This window comes from Homo sapiens, chromosome 3 (genome assembly GCF_000001405.40).
Source record: "Homo sapiens chromosome 3, GRCh38.p14 Primary Assembly".
NCBI classification, from domain to species: Eukaryota; Metazoa; Chordata; class Mammalia; order Primates; family Hominidae; genus Homo; species Homo sapiens.
Window position 1 is genome coordinate 87,791,655 of NC_000003.12, and position 20,357 is coordinate 87,812,011.

At 36.9% G+C, this 20,357-nt stretch overlaps 1 protein-coding gene across 4 annotated transcripts in view, besides 2 other annotated features; it reads left to right on the top strand.

The window, feature by feature from the left end:
* The first annotated feature begins 1,051 nt into the window (after positions 1 to 1,051).
* HTR1F (5-hydroxytryptamine receptor 1F) overlaps positions 1,052 to 20,357 on the top strand; it is a 201,134-nt gene continuing 181,828 nt past the window's right edge. The window contains exon 1 of one of the 4 annotated variants that reach the window (NM_001322208.2): positions 1,052 to 1,678. The gene's annotated coding sequence lies outside the window, so the exon portion shown is untranslated. Of the gene's footprint in view, positions 1,755 to 20,357 lie in introns of all 4 variants that reach the window. The other 3 variants (NM_001322210.2, NM_001322209.2, XM_011533664.3) reach the window with 3 other exon arrangements.
* Positions 6,360 to 6,680: a transcriptional cis regulatory region, noted in NCBI's record as "candidate enhancer chr3.2983 targeted for multiplex CRISPR interference". NCBI's record gives its function as "positively regulates HTR1F gene expression with high confidence in K562 cells {active_cell/tissue: K562}" and the evidence as "EXISTENCE:mutant phenotype evidence [ECO:0000015][PMID:30612741]".
* Positions 9,901 to 10,088: a transcriptional cis regulatory region, noted in NCBI's record as "candidate enhancer chr3.2985 targeted for multiplex CRISPR interference". NCBI's record gives its function as "positively regulates HTR1F gene expression with high confidence in K562 cells {active_cell/tissue: K562}" and the evidence as "EXISTENCE:mutant phenotype evidence [ECO:0000015][PMID:30612741]".

Genomic DNA, 20,357 nt, shown 5'->3' on the forward strand with positions numbered 1-20,357 from the left:
AACAGAAAGGATCTCTCGTTAACAGTAGCTCCTTTCTGGGAATATGAATCTAAGACAGTCAGGCTTAGAGTAAAACTCAGTCTTGGGAAGGTGCATCTGTGGACTACAAAGGCGGTGCTCTGTACAAAATAAATAAATAAATAAATAAATAAATAAATAAATAAATAAATATCTGTCCCACCTTTCTCAGCATTGGAGACCTGTTTCAGTGGTGAAAAATTGCCACCTTCCAAGAAGCATACAAGCTTCTAAGGTCTTTTAAAGAAGATTTGGGGAATTCCTGGCAGGCTAACTGGACTCTTTGCAAGCTACCAAACATTAGTCGAAAACGATTTAAGGCCAGGAACGGAAAAGGTCACGTATTCTCTCCAGGTCAAAGCACTACAAACATATGCTAAGGCATCTCCTGGATAAACCACCAGGCATGCCTGAGAATAAAATTGTGAATAAATCCTGACCCTATTACCTTGCCTATCTTCCTTCTCATGCTCCAGCACCACTTCTTTTTCAGAAAATGCATTCTTCATGAAATTGTGGGTAAATTAATCCCTGGGCCCACCCAATGGCTGTTCACGATCCCACTTCCTAAGTCCTCTACCTATAATTCCCGTTTTGCTTTCTTTATCTGACCTCTCTCATTGCTAGCCACCCAGCTGGATAAAAAGAGTCACTGGGAAGAAGACGCAAAGATGAAAAAATGTGAGGCAAAAATCATTTTATTTTAAAGGTTTTCGGAAAAGTGATTCACGTCATTTTTCGGATTCCATGAACAGATAATCTCGAAGGTATCACTCAAGTTTAAGAGACTGGACTTTTTTCTCCCCCGCCCTTCTCCACGCATCAGTGAAAGAGGAGGGAGGAGACGGAGGAGAGAAGAGGCAGGGAGGCGAAAAAGTGACAGAAGCAAGAGAGAAAGGGAGAGAGGGGTGTTGAAGGAAGGAAGGGAGGAAGGCAAGAGGAGAGGGCTGCTAGGCGTGCTGGAGAGCCTGGGGCGTCCGCCCACCCGCAGGCGCCCCGGACCCGCAAGGGCGGCGCAAGACTTCCCCAGCGCGCAGTCAGCGTCGCGGCCCCGAAAGCTGGCGACAGGCGCTGCTGTCTTCCCGCCCCGTGGGGTCGCCCCTGCCCTCCCGCGCCCCGGGGCTGGGGGCGCCACCTTGCCAGCTCCGACTGCTGCAGGGAGCGCCAGGGGTGAGTGTGCGGATCAGCGCTGAGCCCGGGAGTGCGGGTCACGCCCGCAGCTGGCGCGCAGGTGGGGAAGGGGTGTGGGGACGTGGGGAGTGGGAGGCTGGACAGCGCTTGCTCTCGGCGGAAACGCTGGGAAGCCGGCGCCAAGTCCTTTCCCACACTACTTTGATCTAACAGCGCAGGAATTCAAGAATTGCCCTTTCCCTTTTCTGCCCACAACCTCTGCTCCCTGGGGGCGAAGTTCTGTGGTGCTAGGCGGAGATAGTGGTCAAGGCTGGGAGGAAGGGAGGGGTCTGACCCGGGCCCAAGGGCGAGGGGTGGCGGTCCAAGCCGGCGAGACCCCACTTAGGGCGCAGGCTCCTGGCGCTCCTACCTCGGGAAGCCGCTGGGGTGGAGAGAGACGGGGCACGGGCCAGAATCCAGCAGCGGAAGGAGGGGAGAGTCTTCGAATCCATCTCTCGGTGGGATCTTGAGAGGATTCGCGGGGGGGACGGTAAGATAAATCTGAGGAGCTGGAAGAAGCCGTAGATCGGAAATCGCTTGCAGTTTTCCAACTTTATTTCCCGCGGGTACGAACCATTAAGGTAAAAGGGTCAGAGAGAGCTTCTACCTCGCGGCTGCAGCTTGCCTAGTTGCCGCAGGTCTGACTCAAGGTAGGGTTGTTGGCGCCTTCCTGTTTGGAGGGGCAATCAAGCAAAAGAGAAAGGGGGATCCGAGAGACCGGCGGAATGAGGGTTCATCCTCAGGGGTCCTGCCCCTAAAGGGGCTGTGAGAGCTCAGGGATGAGTAGAAAAAATGCAAACGGAGATGGGCATTTGGGGAGGTTCCAATGCTGGATGTGATGTTGAGGTTATTTCAGTTTGCATGAAAGAGGTGGCCACTGATGGGGCCCTGGATGAGAGAGCCTTTCGTAAGGACAGGCACTTTGGAAGAAGCCTTAAGGAGCAGATTTTGTTTTTCCTGCATGTTAATTACTTCCCAGGCACCTTGACGATCGTAATATAGTTAAGATGATTTGTTAGGTGAATATTTAAGATGACATAAGCAGGTGGCATTAACCTCTCCCCCATATTCTGGAACAGATATATAATTATTACAATTTGATTAAATTTTAGTGGATATGCTATGCCAAAAAAAAAAAAAAGAGAGAGAGAAAACAGGAAAACAGTACAAATTTTAAAACGGGTTTCGCTCTAGTTCTATTTACATACAAGTCTTTGAAATTTGATTTGATGATCAACAGTCTAATGATGCTTAAGTTTGGTGTGCCCCATTTGTCTGTGTGTTTCTTGTGAGAGGTGGAATGAACTCTGGGCTACATTTCGCTGATAAAGTGAGGGTATCCACGCAGAAGCAAACCCGAGGAAGACTCTGCCATCGCCTCTGGGCTTGCAGTCTCTTCCTCTTCTTCCTCTCCATTTTCCCCTCCCCAAACTCATAAACAGGTCCAAGCATCACCACTTCGTGCCTTCCCTAAGGAAAGAGTCGTTCATGCTTCCCCCCACCCCATTCTAATCTTTGTTTCAAAGTGAGTCTTGAGAATGAGAGTATGTATTCACTGTTTCCAATCAAAAGGGGTTTTCTAAGCTTTGGGAGAGGTGGTTCAATAAAGGAACAAACTCAGATGTTTCTAGAACAAATTTTACACTTGCCTGCTATTAACTTAGGAGTTCCTATGAAAATAACTTATTTTACTAATTTTTAATCCAAGGAAGTTCAGTATATTTTTCCACACGTCTTTCAGTTAGTATGAATCATTTATTCACGCTTCATCCAAGTGGGCTTATTACAGAGCTAATGAGCTTAAGTTATATTAAGGGATTGTTCCTTGTCAACAGCATACAAATAACTTATTTGTTGGAATGAGGACTTTAAAGAATAATGCACTTTCTGCCATCTTGCCGCATTAGCCAAATTTTATTATATAAATGGGTGGGATTGAGCAACAGCACATTTGTAAAGTCAACTTGTTCACTTTTTAAAAATGAATATATTAACTAGTTATATTGTTTTTATTGTTCTTATAAAGACTACTATAAAGCTGTTAATTAAAATTATACACATACTTTTCTTAGAAGATATTTTATTTTTATTTAAAGTTGGGCGCATATTTTTCCCAAAGACTTTCAAAATTATGACTGACTTTTTTTTTTTTTTTTTTTTTTTTTTTTGAGATGGAGTCTCTGTCTCCACGCTGGAGTGCAGTTGCACAATCTCGGCTCACTGCAACCTCTGACTCCCTGGTTCAAGCGATTCTCCTGCCTCAGCCTCCTGAGTAGCTGGGATTGCAGGCGCATGCCACCACACCCAGCTAATTTGTATTTTTAGTAGAAACAAGGTTTCACCATGTTGGCCAGGATGGTCTCGATCTCCTGACCTCGTGATCTGCCCGCTTTGGCCTTTCAAAGTGTTGGGATTACAGGCGTGAGCCACAGCGCCCGGCCAACTTACTTCTTAATCAGAAATAAAAGGAGTGATAGTTTAAATTTTCTTATCTAGCAAATGTGGTCTTTTTTGAATTTGATTAACTTTTACTGAAATCATTTTAAAGATGTTTGAAGGGCACTCTCTAGTACGTTAGTAATAACTGGGTAATGTAAAACAACATGGACATAGCGATATTTGCAAAACCATGGCAGGATTCTCTTTTTTTTCCAATATGAAAGGTGGACGGGATGCTGTTTGAGGCAGGGTAAACAAGATGCTGTGTGTTGCCTTCTGGTTGTTAGCTGAAAGCACTATTAATCTTTCAGTGGCCAGGTCCAGAAACCCCTAGGGAAACATATGTAGTGATCCAACCTAGAACCACAGTTCCCGTGCCCTGTAAGTGGAAACCTTACTTTTCCATTCCCTCAGCCTTAAATTAGACAGAGAAGAAATACTAATTTCTGATCTAAAAGTGAGAACCTTGAAGTGCAGTAGGAAAACTCAAAATTGACATCTGAAACAGACATGATCCTTCCATTTGAAAATGAACAAAAGAGACATATTTTAGAGCCTAGAAATGAACAGAAATAGGCAAAAATTACATCAATGAGTATGAAAAAGGGGAAACTCTATTAATTTCATAATCTTTCCAATTTCTTTGTGTTATTTCCTTCTCTCAGAAGTAATATGTGTCCATTTAACCCAGGGTACAGAGCTCGTATTTTCTTCTATGTACAGTGGGAAGACATGAAAGCATTTCAGCAGGAAACTGTTTCCCCAATAACTTCTTGCTATTCTGTGGAGAGTTTCTGTTGGAAGACAAGAAGGGAAGCAAGAAGGCTGTCAGGCAGTCACTAGTGTTTGCCAGCCTAGTCTTTAACCAGGATGTATTGTAGAGATGGTGAGAAGTGTGTGAATTCTGGATGTATTTGGAGGCAAAGGTGACAAGACTTGATGATAGATTAGATATGGTGGGTGTTGGAAGGAAAGGAATTGAGGCTCATGTCTAGATTTATGACCAGAGCAACAGGAAAAAATGCAGTTGTCACCAACTGATATGAGAAGACAAAGGAACAGTTACATTTTGAGCAGCTTACTAGATATCTAGGTGCAGGCATAACGGGTAGATGGGACAGAGCTCAAGGAAAAAGCCAGAGTTGGAGATAAGAATGTGTGAGTCATCATTATATAAATGGCATTTAGAAGAACGGGATTTTATGAAATAATTTCAGGGGAGAATGTATTTAAAGGATCAAGCTGAGAAAAGAGTTCTAGAGCAGTCCAAAATATGGATATTGAAGAGGGTAGGAGCCATAAAAGGAAACTGAGAAGGAGCAGTTAGTGGAATAGGGAAAAATCCAGAAGGGTGTGATATTATGGAAGCCAAAAGAAGAAAGTACTTTTTTTAAGAAAAAAGGAAGTGCTGATCAGCTGTGTCCAATGTTGCTAAAGTACAAAATTATGTAAAGGCAAAGAATTACCTTGGAATTAAGCTATTTCAGTCAAAATGGTGGTGACAAGATTGATCTTTAAGAATTGAGCATAGATTGGTGACCTAGTGATTCCAGTTCTAGGAATTTATCTTATAGATATGCTTGCACTTAAGTAAAAATAATAATAGATGTTCACAGTTACTCTTTGCAGTTTTGTACATAAGCAAACAATTGAAAACAACATAAATACGTATACATAGAAAACAAGCCAAATAATCTATATATAGTAGTCCCTCCTTATTCAGTTTCACTTTCCCTAGTTTCAGTTACCGGCAGTCAACCGCAGTCTAAAAATGTTAAATGGAAAATTTCAGACATACAAAAATCATGTTTTAAATAGCATGTCATTCTGAGTATTGTTATAATTGTTCTTTGTTATTAGTTATTGTTGGTAATCTCTTACTGTGCCTAATTTATGAATTAAAGTTTATCATAGGTATGTATGGATAGGGAAAAACATAGTGTGTATACAGAGAGTTTGGAGTTATTCATGGTTTCAGGCATTCACTGGGGGGTCTTGGGCCTATGCCTAATAGATAACTAGGAACTACTGTATGTACATTCAATGGAATACTATCTGGGTGTTAAAATTATTAGGCAGCTTTCCATATGTTAAAATTAAAAGATCTGCAAAGTCTGCTAAGCTAGCAGAAAAAGTTGCAATGCAGTATGTTTGAAATGCTATCATTTATTACAGAACAAATCAAAATGAGCCTTTATATGAAAACATATTTTAAAAACAGTAGACAATAGTAGTTTCCTACAAGGAAGGAAACTGGATGGTAGGGTAAAATGATAGAAGGAAGATAAACTCTGTTTTTATATACTTTAATACCTTTGAATCACGTGCACATAGATTAGCTATTCAAAACCCTAAATAAAACTTCACGCATGAATCTGAAAAAAAAATGTAGCTTAAAATATGAAAGAAAATAAAGAATGGGTGATGAGGAAATTAATACTATGTACCACACAACTCTGAAAAAGTTTCAAAAAGAAGATTAAAAGTAGCTGGAGTGGGCCATGGAGACTTGTTTTTAAAATGGGAGTTACTAATGTCGGAAGTAGACCAATGAGGATAAACTACACAGAAGGCAAAGCTGATGGTGGGACAAAAAGGAATACTGTGGGAGCAAACCCTTTAATAAGTGGTAGGGGATGGCATGACTGGTGCTAGTAAGAGAGGGAACTAGCAGGTTGAGGAACAGGGACAGTGCCATTTCCCAGAAACTCCCAGATTTGGATCTGTCCTTTGGCCAGCATCCTACATTCCTAAAGCTAAGTGTGCTTGGGACAGTTGCATGTACAATTGCAGTTGATGGCATCATAAAGTCTCAGGTCTTAATGTCATTCGGATCATCACTCTCATCAAATCTTTCTTACCATTGGTTGCCACTCCCTCCAGTTTCCCACCTGCTCCAAACTAACACTGTCTCTGCCCCCTCCCCCTTCAGTCTCAGGACAGTTCTTCACCGGGACTTCAGAGGTTCTCAAGAATGAATCTCCCTCACCAGTTCCAACTCCTGTATGTCTATCTGCTCAGCTCCTCTGCTTCCCTCTAGGCCGATTGTCAAGCTGACCACCCTCTCTGCTCTGGGTCCCACAACTGCCCCCACTCCAATCTGAATTTTGCTTCATAAACAATTCTTTTAACCACCTGCAACTTGAGCCTCTTCTGTATTTCATGACTTTGTTATTTAAAGGTATTAAGATTATATCACTCCCATCCATCCATAAAACCAGCAGAAAAACAGCAAAACTCTCATGACCCTGACCCCCCTCCACCCGCCGTAGCTAGAGTCCCATTTGATCTTTTCTCAGCTATCTTCCCTCAAAAAAAAAAAACCTAATTTTTATTTCCTGTCACCAGCTCCTCCACTCCCATTAACTCCTCTCCCACCACAGGCCGGATTCCACTCCCACGATCCCATGAAACTACTTTGGCAATAGTCACTATATTATTAAATCAGAAGCTACTGATCACTGAAAACTCAGCTCACCGAATGACTCAGTAACATTGGACAAAGCTAACCATTAATCATCCATGCCTTATTTTTCCTGAGGCTCAGAGACACTTGTCTTTCCTGTGAAGTCTCTGACAGCACTCTCTTGGTCCCCTTATTATATCTTTGATTTTTACTTCTTCATTCGTTTGGTGATCCTCTTCCATTGCCCATTCTTAGCTCTCTTGTTCATTCACTTCCATTTTATGTTTTGGTCAAAGATCCTTTTGAGAGTCTCAAAACAAAAATAGGAAAAAATGAAAATAAAAACAAACTATGTCATTTCTCCCCAAGGGAAAAATGCACATAGATACAAATATTTGCAGATAATTTTAGACAATTAGCAGACTCATTTAAGTCCATCAGTGAGAGTTGGGAATCTTTCCCAGGCTTTCTTATAAAAAAATTTCATCAGCTACTGTAATTTCAGCAACACCAAATGAGATGATGAATCCTAGTTTGTCCAAATGTGAAGGTGACTCTCAGTTCTAGCATTACCCAATAATAGTCCCCTTTTGGTATATCCAAGTCGTTATACATACTGCCTTCATGATTTTTTTTCATACCTGCATACAACAATGTTTCTTATTTATATCATTTCTTTAAATTGAATCATATTTTAAAATAGCAATAAATAAAAATAAAATCCTTATCAATATTGTTAATGGAAAATTGATACTACTGCCACAAATAAGATGAAATGATAAAAAGAATATAGCAAACAACATAGTGATATTATTACATTTTAATTAGGTATTTATTCTCAGCTAAAAGACTTGAGCCCGAGGCTGATATTCTGTTGAAGTAAAAAGTAGATGAGCAAAAGTTAAGAACAAACTTCCACCAAGCTAGAAGTCTTTGAAGTGGTTAATCCAAAGGGAAAGGAAATTGAAAGGAGAATAAAACCCTCACTATCTGATACAACATTATGTAATTCCATGAGCTGGTACAAGTAGTCCCCTGAGTAGCACCAGTAGGATACATCCTGGCATTGGGGTAAATTCCCCTCTCTTCTGCATATCTAGCCCAATCCTCCCTATTAAACTAAAAGCCCTCAAGATGGTAACATGGACAGATGGATGACCTCCATGCTCAGTTAACAGGTTCATAATTAAACTCATCTTTCTCCCCTAAATGTTTAAGACTCATATAGTCCATATTCTATCAGAGAGACTCTCCAAATTTCTTTTTTAAAGTTTTTCTCCAGACTCAGCCAAATACAGTCAGACTACTCTTAGATGGGTCTCTCGAATATACTATACTTTCCTGATCATTCATTACTTACTTATTCAATATGCTTAGTCTAGACTCTTTCAATACCTTCCAAACTCATCTCCCTGAATCTAGCCTTGCCCTCATTTGTCGTTTTTCCCATATTGTCACCAAATTAACTTTAGGTATTAGTTCTGTCTCATGCTTAAAATCCTTTAGTGGCTCCTCATGTCATTCTGGGAACAAGCCAAGCCCTGTAGCTCATCCTTCCAAGTCCTTCTTCCTCTGAATTTCTGCTCCAACTTTACTTTCAGCCACCCTTCCTTGCCAGCCCACTAGCTATGCTCAGCAACAGGGAACTACTCACACTTCTCTGACATAGGTTTTCCTTTCTTCTCTCAGCTCTGAATATCCTTCCTTCCACCTGGCAAATTCTTAGTCATTTGCCAAAATTTACATGGATTTGTTTTTCTTCCCAGACTTCTTCCTTTGCTAAAAAGTAATTCACTCCTCTAAAGTAGCTGTGATCCTTTTGTAAATATCCATAGTGCATTCACCATGCTGTTTGTATTTTATTTATTTACATGTCTCTTCTCTCCAGTTAGGCTAGTGAGTACCTGGAGGCAGAAATGGAGTCTTTTCCATCTCTGTATCTTCAGACTGAATGAACTGTAGTGCTCAGCACAAACAGCATCAAAGGGAAACTTCTGTGACTCTTGTGTTGCCTGAGTTAAGAGCAACTGTAAACAAGCCATGTTATGTAATACTTTACAACTACCCTTGAGTAGGAGTGATTTTCTGGAAATCACCTCAAAAAATTGTCTTTCTTGGTTCATTGGTACTCTGTCTATGGCATTTCTCTCTTTCAAACTGTTTCATAAAATTAAAAGACAAAATAAAACCCCAGAGAAGTTTCCTAATGTAATCTTCTGTATCTACAGTCTTTAAGACAGATGGCTATTTCTCTTATTTAACAAAATATCAAGAAAAGTATATAGTCTCACTCAATAACCCACTTTAGTGTTAAGCTGCCTTTATTTTTCGTATACAATATAAATTGACATTACTATAGTTATTTCTATTCTTTTTTCTTGAAATGAATATGGAGTTACATTTTCCTTATGTCAAACTTTCATCTATTTCAAAACAATGCCAACTAATATTGAACAAAAATATCTGAATTAAATCTGGAGTTATTAATAAGCACTCATCTTTTGCAGAGGCTTAACTTTCTAGCTTATCTAGGATTCAAAGCTCTTTGGTGCTAATTTAGCTTCAGTCTTTCCTTTCTTTTTGTATTATCTCCTCATCTTATACCTTATAGTATACCAGTGTAGTAGCACACTTATAGTGAAAATTAGTGGAGTAAAATCTTGTTTGTGTGAACCCAGAATATCTGAAACAGGTCTCAATTAATTTAGAAAGTTGATTTTGCCAAGGTTAAGAGTGCACCTGTGACACAGACTCAGGAAGTCCTGACGACATGTGCCCAAGGTGGTCGGGGCACAGCTAGGTTTTATACATTTTAGGGAGACATGAGACGTCAATCAATATATGTAAGAAGTACGTTGATCTGGTCTGGAAAGGTGGGGCATCTTGAAGCAAGGGCAGGAGGACTTGCCAGGAGGGAGCTTCCAGATCACAGATAGGTGAGACACACACAGTTGCATTCCTTTGAGTTTCTGATTAGCCTTTCCAAAGGAGGCTATCTCAGTGAGCAGAGGGATGACTTTGAATAGAATGGGAGGGGAGGCAGGTTTGCCCTAAGCAGCTTGCAGCTTGAGTTTTCCTTAGTGATTTTGGAGGCCTAAGATATTTTCCTTTCGTATTGGAGATAGATAGTTTATAGAAGTAAAAAGAAGTATATACATTAAAATAGTCAAGGTTATATCCAAATACCTAGACATGAAAAGCCCTTATTTTATAATTATGTTTTGATCCTTTAATACTTTGTTTTTAAGTCATTTGTGATATTTAGAAAAATATATAAAGCATGGCTTTGCTTTCTTTCTTTCCTTCCTTCCTTTCTTCCTTCTTTTTCTTTCTTTCCCTCCCTTCTTCCCTCCCTCCCTTCCTTCCTTCCTTTTCTTTCTTTCCCTCCCTCCTTCCCTCCCTCCCTCCTCCCTCCCTCCCTCCCTTCCTTTTCTTTCTTTCCCTCCCTTCTTCCCTCCCTCCCTCTCTCCCTCCCTCCCTCCCTTCCTTTCTTCTTTTTCTTTCTTTCCCTCCCTTCTTCCCTCCCTCCCTCTCTCCCTCCCTCCCTCCCTTCCTTCCTTCCTTCCTTCTTTTTCTTTCTTTCCTTCCCTTCTTCCCTCCCTCCCTCCCTCCCTTCCTTCCTTCCTTCCTCCCTTCCTTCTTTCCCTCTTTCTCTCTTTCTTCTTTTTTTTGAGACATGGTCTTGTTTTGTCATCCAGGCTAGAGTGCAATAGTAGGATGATCACAGCTCACAGCAGCCTTGAAATTTGGGGGCCAAGTGATCTTCCCACCTCAACCTCCCAAGCAGCTAGAACTACAGGCCTGCACCACCACGCCAGGCTAATTTTTCTGTTTTCCTTCTGGAGACAGTATGTTACTATATTGCCTAGGCTAGTCTTAAATTCCTGGCTTCTAGCAGTCCTCCTGCCTCAGCACCCCCTCAAACTGCTGGGATTACAGGCATGAGCCACCGCTCCTGGCTTGATTTTGTTTTCTAATTATCATAGGAAGCAAAATTCCTGACCAGTGTATTAATAGCTAAGTAACATCAGAAAAAGACTAATTTGGCACATGCTTACAAGCAAGGGTAGCTTAGTTTTATGGTACACATAAAAGTAAATAGGTTAGTTGCATATTTTCATGCCTTTTTATTAAATAATGTTTGAAATAATAAGTCGCAGATTTGGAAAGTGCCCATTGCAACATTCTGTTTACATTTCATCCAGTGCAGCTACCACAACACAGCACTAATAATTCAAGGCATCTTTTAGCAGGTTCTTTAGAATCTTGGCAGCTGCTTGACAAGCCAAGGAGGACCCTTCAATCTTAGTAATTCTGGTTGAAATAAAAGCAATGGAGCTGTCTATTCTTACCTTTCCTAAATGAAGTCTAGATTGTATGATTTGGAGCCTTTCTGTTTTGAGAAAAGGAACCTGGATTTCAAATGCTCCAAAAACCATTTTCTCTCGAATTCATCTGTGAATTTTCCTTTCCCCTCTCTCTTCTGATTAAGTTCACTCAGCCACCATCAATTTTATAAGATATCAGAAGAGAGAAAATATTATTTATTTTATCTTAGTCATAATCCTGGAAAGGGCCTTCAAGTGTAAGGATTAAAATCCTGACAAACTTCATTTTCGTCTTAAAGAAGTTTACCAAGATTTAGCTCAATTCTATGCAAACTTCCTTTCTACATATATTCTCCCAGATTTACCCTCTCACTAAAAGCAGGTGCAACATCTCATTGAACATCATTGCTATCCTCAGGATCTAAGGGGGGAAAATCTATCCAGATTGATGCACTTTTTAAAAAGTATGAAAGCATCATACTACTGTGAAATTGTAAGTAGACAATTTCACTTCTGCAGTGATATTCAGAAAGGTTACAGTAAAACCAGTGTCATATATTGGAACATTACTCAGAAGCAGCATCTAATTTGACATAAGATACAAAATATGTACAATTCGTGTTACAGTAGGGAAGTGCTTTCTCAGTGAATGAATTCTAAAGCATAATAAAAGTCAGATCAGGTCTTCCAAACTGAAAAGTAGAAGGAATACTTCTGCCCAGTGTACAAACAATGGAGTAGGTAGAAGAATAATATAGAACTACATATAATTCCATGAGTACAATCATAGTAACTTGAGAATAAACTGATCATTTTTACAGTTTCATTCAGATATTTTATTACACGTTATCTTCAAGGGTGGACAAGAAGGATTATCCCCATTTTACAGAAGAGGGAAGTGATTCCCAGAGATGGTTTGTTTTATAGCCAAGAGCAGATAAATGGTGAAACTGGGCGTACAAATCCACATTACAATTCAGTCCTATCATTTTCCAGCTATAGATTTTGTTGCTCTTTGACCCTAAGTTATTAGAGAAAAAAACTGTATCCTCCTTTGATTTCATTTTTAATATGTTTTATCTTTTTATTATTTGTCAGGTTTAAAATAATAATGAATTGCAATATTTACACTTAAAACTAAAAAGTATTTTGTTTCATATTTCTCACCATCCAGGTGTTTCTGACATACAAAAATGTGATTTTATTTTAATAACATTTTCTTCATTGTTGAAAAGATGAATATATTTATAAAACTTTTTAAAGAATAAAATAAAAGCTAGGCTTGGTGGTGCATGCCTGTGGTCCCAGCTATTCGGGAGGCTGAAATGAGAGTAATGCTTGAGCCCAGGTGCTGAGACAGCCTGGGAAACACAGCAAGAGCTCATTGCTCAAAAAGGAAAAAAAAATTCTCTAAAATTGTATAACAGCATTCTCAAAAAAAATTGAGTATAACTGAATAGTGTATCTTAGCTTTTTAAAAAGTTTTGCTGAGTTGATAGCCAAAATTATATATCTCAATTCTTGATTTTGGTATATTTCCCATTTTATTATCTAGAAATTTGAATATCAGTATTTTTCCTATTTTTATTGTTATTTGAATTTCTCCTTTTTGAGTTGTCTGGCAGTTCTTTGTGCTCACGTTACTATAGATGTTTATTCTTCCAAAGCTTTGTCTGTTGTATGCTGCAAATTTTCCCCTCTGTTGATGTCTTTGAACTTGTTTCATAGAAATTATTGATAATATGTAATTTTAAATTTTAAATTTTATGTAGTTTAACAATTCAACTTTTTTACTTTGGTTTGGTTTTGGTTTTATGAAACCAACAGTAAGCTTGCAACTTTCCATCTAAAGATCTGTTGGACATTTCTTTATATCTTCTAATTTTGATTACCTTATTTATTTTAATTTAGAATTTTGATCAAGCTGAAATTCATATTTATATATCAAGTGTGATGAGTTGTTATCATAATGTTTTTTTCTAGAGTCAACCTTTTGATACTAATGCCATGTCTTTGAAAGTCATTCTATCCCCACTGTTATGAAATATTAATTTTACCATCTACTGGGTGTTTCTGTTTAAAGTGATGAGTTCTATTTAGTTGCTCCCTTATTTGATTGTGGCAGCAAGCCTACATTGCTTTTAGTTATTATAAATTTTGTAATATGTTAACAACTTGTAGAGCAAGGTTTTTTTTTTTACCACTCTTCTCCAAAATTTTCTTTATTCCCACCTATTTGTTCCTCCTTAGTGAGCATGGTCAATTTTGTGAGATAGCAGAAAAGTTAAGATATTTATTAGAATAGCAGTTTGAGTATAGATTAATGTGAAATGACTGACTGGATTTTCCACAGGGAAATACAGTGTCTCTGAATTAATTTAGATATTTCATGTTTGTCAATAAGTTTTATAACTGACTTCCTATGAGTTCCACGCATTTCTTATTTAGGTTTTTCCTGTGTATTTCATATCTTTTTTTTATTTTAAAATTGATGTATAATATTTTACATATATAGAGAGTACATGTAATATTTTGTTGCATGGATACAATGTGTAATTATCAAGTCAGGATATTTAGAGCATCTATCAGCTTGGGTATTTATCATTTCCATGTGTTGGGAACATTTCAAATTCTTCTAACTACTTTGAAATATGCATTAGGGAAAAGAGCTAATGCATGCTAGGCTTAATACCTAGGTGATGGGTTGATAAATGCAGCAAACCACTACGGCACACGTTTACCCGTGTAACAAATCTGCATATCCTGCACGTGTACCCTGGAACTTAAAAAAAGAAAAGAAAATGAAATATGCAATACACTGTTGCTAATTATAGTTACCATACTCTGCTATCAAACATTAGAACTTATGCCTTCTAACTAACCACATGTTTGTACTCATTAACCAAACACTTTTTTTTGCCCCATTTACATGCACATTCATTACTTTCATGAGAGCAACTTTTTTTAGCTCACAAATATGAGTAAGAACATGTGAAATTTGTCTCTGTGTCTGGCTTATTTCACTCAACATAATGACCGCCAGTTCCATGCACATGACTGCAAATGACATGATTTCATTCTTTTTTATTGGAAAATAGTATTCCATTGTGTATAAATCCCACATTTTCTTTATTCATCCACTGATGAACACTTAGGTTGATTCCATGTCTTTGCTATTATGAATAATGCTGCAATAAACATTTAAGTACAAGTATGCTTTGATATACTAATTTCCTTTGGATAAATATCTGGTAGTAGAGTTGCTGGATTGTATTTTTAGTTTTTTGGGAAATCTCCATACTGTTTTCCATAGTGGCTATACTAATTTACATTCCTGTCAATGTGTATAAAAGTTCTCTTCCTCTGTTTCCTTACCAGCATCTGTAATTTTTTGTCTTTTTAAAAATAGCCATTTTAACTGGGGTAAAACAATAACTCACTGTGGTTATGATTTACATTCCCCTTGTCCTTTGCCCACTTTTTAATGGAATTATTTGTTTTATTTTTTCTGTTGAGTTCATCGTATATTCTAGATATTAGTCCCTTGTCAGATGAATAGTTTGCAAATATTTTCTCCTATTCAACAGGTTGTCTCTTCACTCTGCTGATTATTGCTTTGCTGTGAAGAAGAGTTTTAGTTTAATATAGTCCAATTTTGTTTCTGTTGTCTATGCTTTTGAAGACTCAGCCATAATCTTTTCCTAAACCAATGTCCTGAAGTGTTTTCCCTGTTTTCTTCTAAGAGTTTTATTGTTTTGAATCTTACATTTAAGTCTTTAATCCACTTTGAGTTGATTTTTGTTTATGGTGAGAGGTATGAATTTAGTTTCATTTTCTGTATACATTCGGTTTTCCTAGACCATTTATTGAAGAGACTCCCCAATGTATGTTCTTGGAACCCTCATCAAAAATCAGTTGGCTGTAAATATGTAGATTTATTTCTGGGTTCTGTATTCGATTCCACTGGTCTCTGTGTCTGTTTTTGTACCAGTACCATGCGATCTTAGTTACCATAGCCTTGTAATATATTGAGTTTCAAGTAGCGTGGTGTCTCCAGTTTTGTCCTTTTTGCTCAGGATTGCTTTGGCTATTTGGGCTCTTTTAGTTTCCACACAAATTTTAGGATTATTTTTTCTATTTCTGTAAAAAATCTCATTGGTATTTTGATAGAGATTACATTGAATCTGTAGATCACAAGGGGCAGTATGGTCATTTGAAGGATATTAACTCTACTGATCCATGAGCATGGAGTATCTTTCCCTTCGTGTTGTTTTTAATTTATTTCAACAGTGTTTTGTAGTTTTTCTTTTAGAAATCTTTCATTTCCTTGTTACATTTATTCCTAGGTATTTTTTATTTTTGTAGCTATTGTAAATGGGATTGCCTTCTTGATTTATTAGTACATTAATTAGTACATTAATTAGCATATAGAAATGATTCTGATTTTTGTATGCTGACTTTGTATTCCGCAACTTCATTGAATTTATCAGGTCTAAGAGTTTTTTGGTTGAATCTTTAGTTTTTTTAATATATAAGATCATATCGTCAGCAAACAGGGACAATTTGACTTATTTTCCAATTTGATTGCCTTTTATTTCTTTCTCTTGCCTGATTGCTCTGGCTAGGACTTCCAGTAATATACTAAATAGGAGTGGGGAAAGTTGTCATCCTCATCTTGTTCTAGTTATTAGGGGAAAGGCTTTCAGGCTTTCTTCATTCAGCATGGTGTTACCTGTGGGTTTATTACATTTGACCTTTATTATGTTGAAGTATGTTCCTCCTATGCCTAGTTTGTTGAGAATTTTTACCATGAAAGGATGATGAATTTTATTAAATGCTTCTTCCATGTCAATTGAGATCATCATATGGTTTTTGTACTTCATTCTGTTGATGTGATGTATATTGTTTATTGATTTGCATGCCTTGAACCATTCTTCCATCCCTGGGATAAATCCCATTTGATAGTGGTATATTATTTTTTTAATGTGCTGTTGGATTTGGTTTGCTAGTATTTTTTTGAGAATTTCTGTACCTATGTTCATCAGGTATATTGGCCTGTAGTTTTCTTTTGTTGTGCCCTTGTCTGGTTTTGGTATCAGGATAATGCTGGCATCATGGAATAAGTTAGGTAGAATTTTCTCCTCTCCAATTTTTTGGAATAGTTTGAGGAGAATTGGAGTTAGTTCTTCTTTGACAGTTTGATAGAATTTGGCAGTGAAACCATTAGGTCCTGTACTTCTGTTGTTGGGAGACTGTTTATTACTTATTAAATCTTATTATTTGTTATTGATCTGTTCAGATTTTTAATTTCTTCCTGATTCAATCTTGGTCAGTTGTATGAGTCCAGGAATTTATCTGTTTCCTCTAGGTTTTCTAATTTTTTAATGTATAGTTGTTCATAATAGTGCCTGATGATCCTTTGTGTATCTGTGATATCAGTTGTAATGTCTTTTTTTTTCATATCTGATTTTGCCTGGGCCTTCTTTCTTTTATTTTTTGGTTAATCCATCAAGTGATTTATTTATTTTGATTATCTTTACAAAACACAAATTTTCATTTCATTTATCCTTTGCATTTTTTCATTTGCCTCTACTTTAATTCTGCTCTGATCTTTATTATTTCTTTCTTTCTACTTATTTGGGGTTTGGTTTGTTCTTGCATTTCTAGTTCTTCAAAGTGCATTTTTAAATTGTCTATTTGAAATCTTTCTACTTTTTTATGTGGGCATTTATTCTATCAGCTTTGTTCTTAGCACTGCTTTTGCTGTATCCCATAGATTTTGATACGTTGTGTTTGAATTTTTGTTTGTTTCTAGAATTGTTTTGATTTAACCGTAATTTCTTCCTTGACCCAGTGGTTGTTCAGGAGCATGTTGTTTAATTTGTATAGTTTACAAAGTTTCTCTTTTTATAGATTTCTAGTTTTATTGTAGTCTGAGAAAATATTTTATGTGGTTTCTATTTTTAAAAGTTCATTGAGACTTGTTTTGGTTCCTAACATATTATTACATTTCCTTTTGATTTTGGCTAGTTTACAGAAAAGTCACATATTTTTATTCATTTTCCTTTTATCCATTTAATTTACTTAATTCTTATATGAATAGATTTTTATTTGATTTTCTTGACTATTTAAAATAGTCAATATATCATCACATAAAAGATGGAGTTAAAAATAATAGAAAATATTTTGAATCTAAAAATTTTTCCTCAGCAATATTGTTTCTGCTTCATGTACTAAATAATAGCATATAATTATATTTAGAGAGATAGTCCATTTGAATTATTATAAATCACTCTTAATCGTGCAAACCAAATAGTGTATCATTCAATTAAGCCTCCTTCTTCAACTCAAAAAATTATTTTTAAGAAGCGATTTCAAACAGGAATATTTGGAGTTTTTGTGTTTAAATATTTTCAGTTGATGCATAGTTTTAATATTACATTTTGTCTAGAAAATGTAGCTAGCATGATTTCTAATTGACAAACTTAACTAAGCTTTTCTTTTTTGATTTACATGCATTTAATTTGTGATAAGTTCCACTGTACATTTGACAAACAGCAAATTACATACTGGATACTACACTAATAATACAGCATTATATTCAGCATTCCATATTCTTATGTTATTGTATCTGATTGCTAGAGATGCACTAAAGTCTCCCTCTATAATCACATTTGTCTATCTTCCATTGGACTTAACCATCTTATGCTTATTTGTATGTTATGGTGTTTGATTTGGGGGCACTTAAAAACACATGATTGTCCGATCTTTCTATGTGAAATTTACTTTATTTTATTAAATTCATCTTGTCCAATGTTAGCCTTATTATTTTTCCTTTCTTTAAGTTTGCCTAAAGTTTGTGGGCCTGAGTCATTTTATTGAATTTTTCTTAAAAGCAAAATATTATTAAATTGTTTTTACCCAATCTGGATACACCATCTGGTTATTTTTTTTCCTTTCAGTAGATGAACTCACCTTATTTTTTAATTAGCTACCATAAATATCAGGTTCCATTTTACCTGATCAAACAAGTTTCAGTGTTTTATTTTTTCTTTTGTCATTCCTTTCTCTTTTGTCATTGTCTTTTTTATTGACAAATAATTTCTTGATTTATTTCTTCTTTTGGAGAAAATATATGTTTATTCAATTTAAACTTATAGCCAAATGGAGTTTATATGGATTCTGCTAGAAACTGATGTAGGTCATGCTTTGAATTCCTTATCATTTCCAGATCTTATAGCCTGACAGGAAGTGGAAGGAACAAACAGTCCCAAAAGAAACTTCCTTCATCGGAAATGTCATTGTTCATTCCATTTGATGTTGCTGTCTTTACTATAATAAACTTTAGCAGTGCCTAATTTTATGCTTGGCCAAATCACACATTTCTGGATGTCGGCGTTTTTCCCAAAGTTCCAAGCAGACAGTAGGCCTAGAAATGACTTCCATTTCTCCCCATACTTTCTTTTGATGCCTTTCTTTGACCCATTCACTCAGGATGTGGCAGACTGAATCAGCCAGCATTATCTTTATTTGCCTTCTAGATAGATAGCTTTTTTGAAGGAGGTGAAATTTAATATTGTTATATTTCCATCCTCTGTGGCTTCCATCAAACTGAATCACACTATTTCAATGGAAATTCCTGAAACTTTGGCCAGGAAGATGTTGGTATCACTAGTCATTTTCTAAAAATGGCTCAGTTGTTTCCTCTTTTACTGGTGTATAAATTATTTCAATATGAACTCAGGTAGATGAGGAACTACATGCAATCTTGAAAATATGTATGTTCCCCAACTTGTGGCTTTGACACAGTTTATATTTCATGTGAAGAAGAAACCACAGTTACTTTGCACAGGAGTTAATTTTAAGAAGCATCTGACCAGTATGTGTATACACTGACATGGAACTCATCTGAGATAGATCTTATATCAGCTCATATAAGCTTAGAATATTAAAACTTTCTATTGCTATTCCCCAGATAACTTGACTTTGTTTTTATATGCCAATAGGCCATATAGTAAGTACTAGTAAGTAATCCTGATTTCAGATACTTTATTAATTTGTTTCTTCCCTTAGTTCAGAAAGGCTCTTTAATTCATACTTCTTGAGTTCTCATATAGGAAACACTTAAAATTATATATGAACCATAGTGGCAAAATTGGAGATTCTCCAGTAGTCTGGCTCACTAGTTCCTCTGAATGATTTACCATAGATCTGCCTTTGCAGTTCATATATTTCCAGGTCATTCAGTGGAATTCTATTGTTAAAAAAAAAAAAAGCCTTCCTACAGACAAACACTCAAACTACTTCAATGTGATAGTTCCTGGCAAGACTGCACATTGAAATTGCCATTTTAAAAAAGAGCAAAGAAGATCTAGGAGTAAATAGGGAAAAAGTCGAAATTAATGGGCTTTATTTTTAATAGTGGGAAGTCTTTGAAACATAAAGGATATGACAATGATTTCTCAAATGTCAATAGATGAAACAGCCCTGAAATGTATATAATAGGAAAAGAAAAGTATTAATGTTAAAATTATGGAAAGATGTTTTTAAAGATTCCAAATGAAAGTGTTTTGACTAGTGGTGTTCTGGTAAATGTTTAAAAAAACAGCTTGAGGAGAAAGAGGAAAAGCCCTGATTCATGAAGTTTGCCAATTTCCATAGTGTAAATATTCCCAACATGATCAATTTCAAGCTATCTTCATGAAGTCACTGAACACAGAGTCAGGAAGAAATGTGTCCAGTGATTCTCATGAGCCGGTGAAAGTCATCTCCAAATGATATGGTTTGGCTCTGTTGCCCTACTCAAATCTCATCTTGAATTGTAATGCCCATGTGTGGAGAGAGGGAGGTGTTTGGATCATGGGGGTAGTTTCCCCCATGTTGTTCTCATGATAGTGAGTGAGTGCTGATGAGATCTGATGGCTTTATAAGTATTTGATAGTTCATCTTTCATATGCACTCTCACCTGCCACCATGTAAGAAATGCTTGCTTCCCC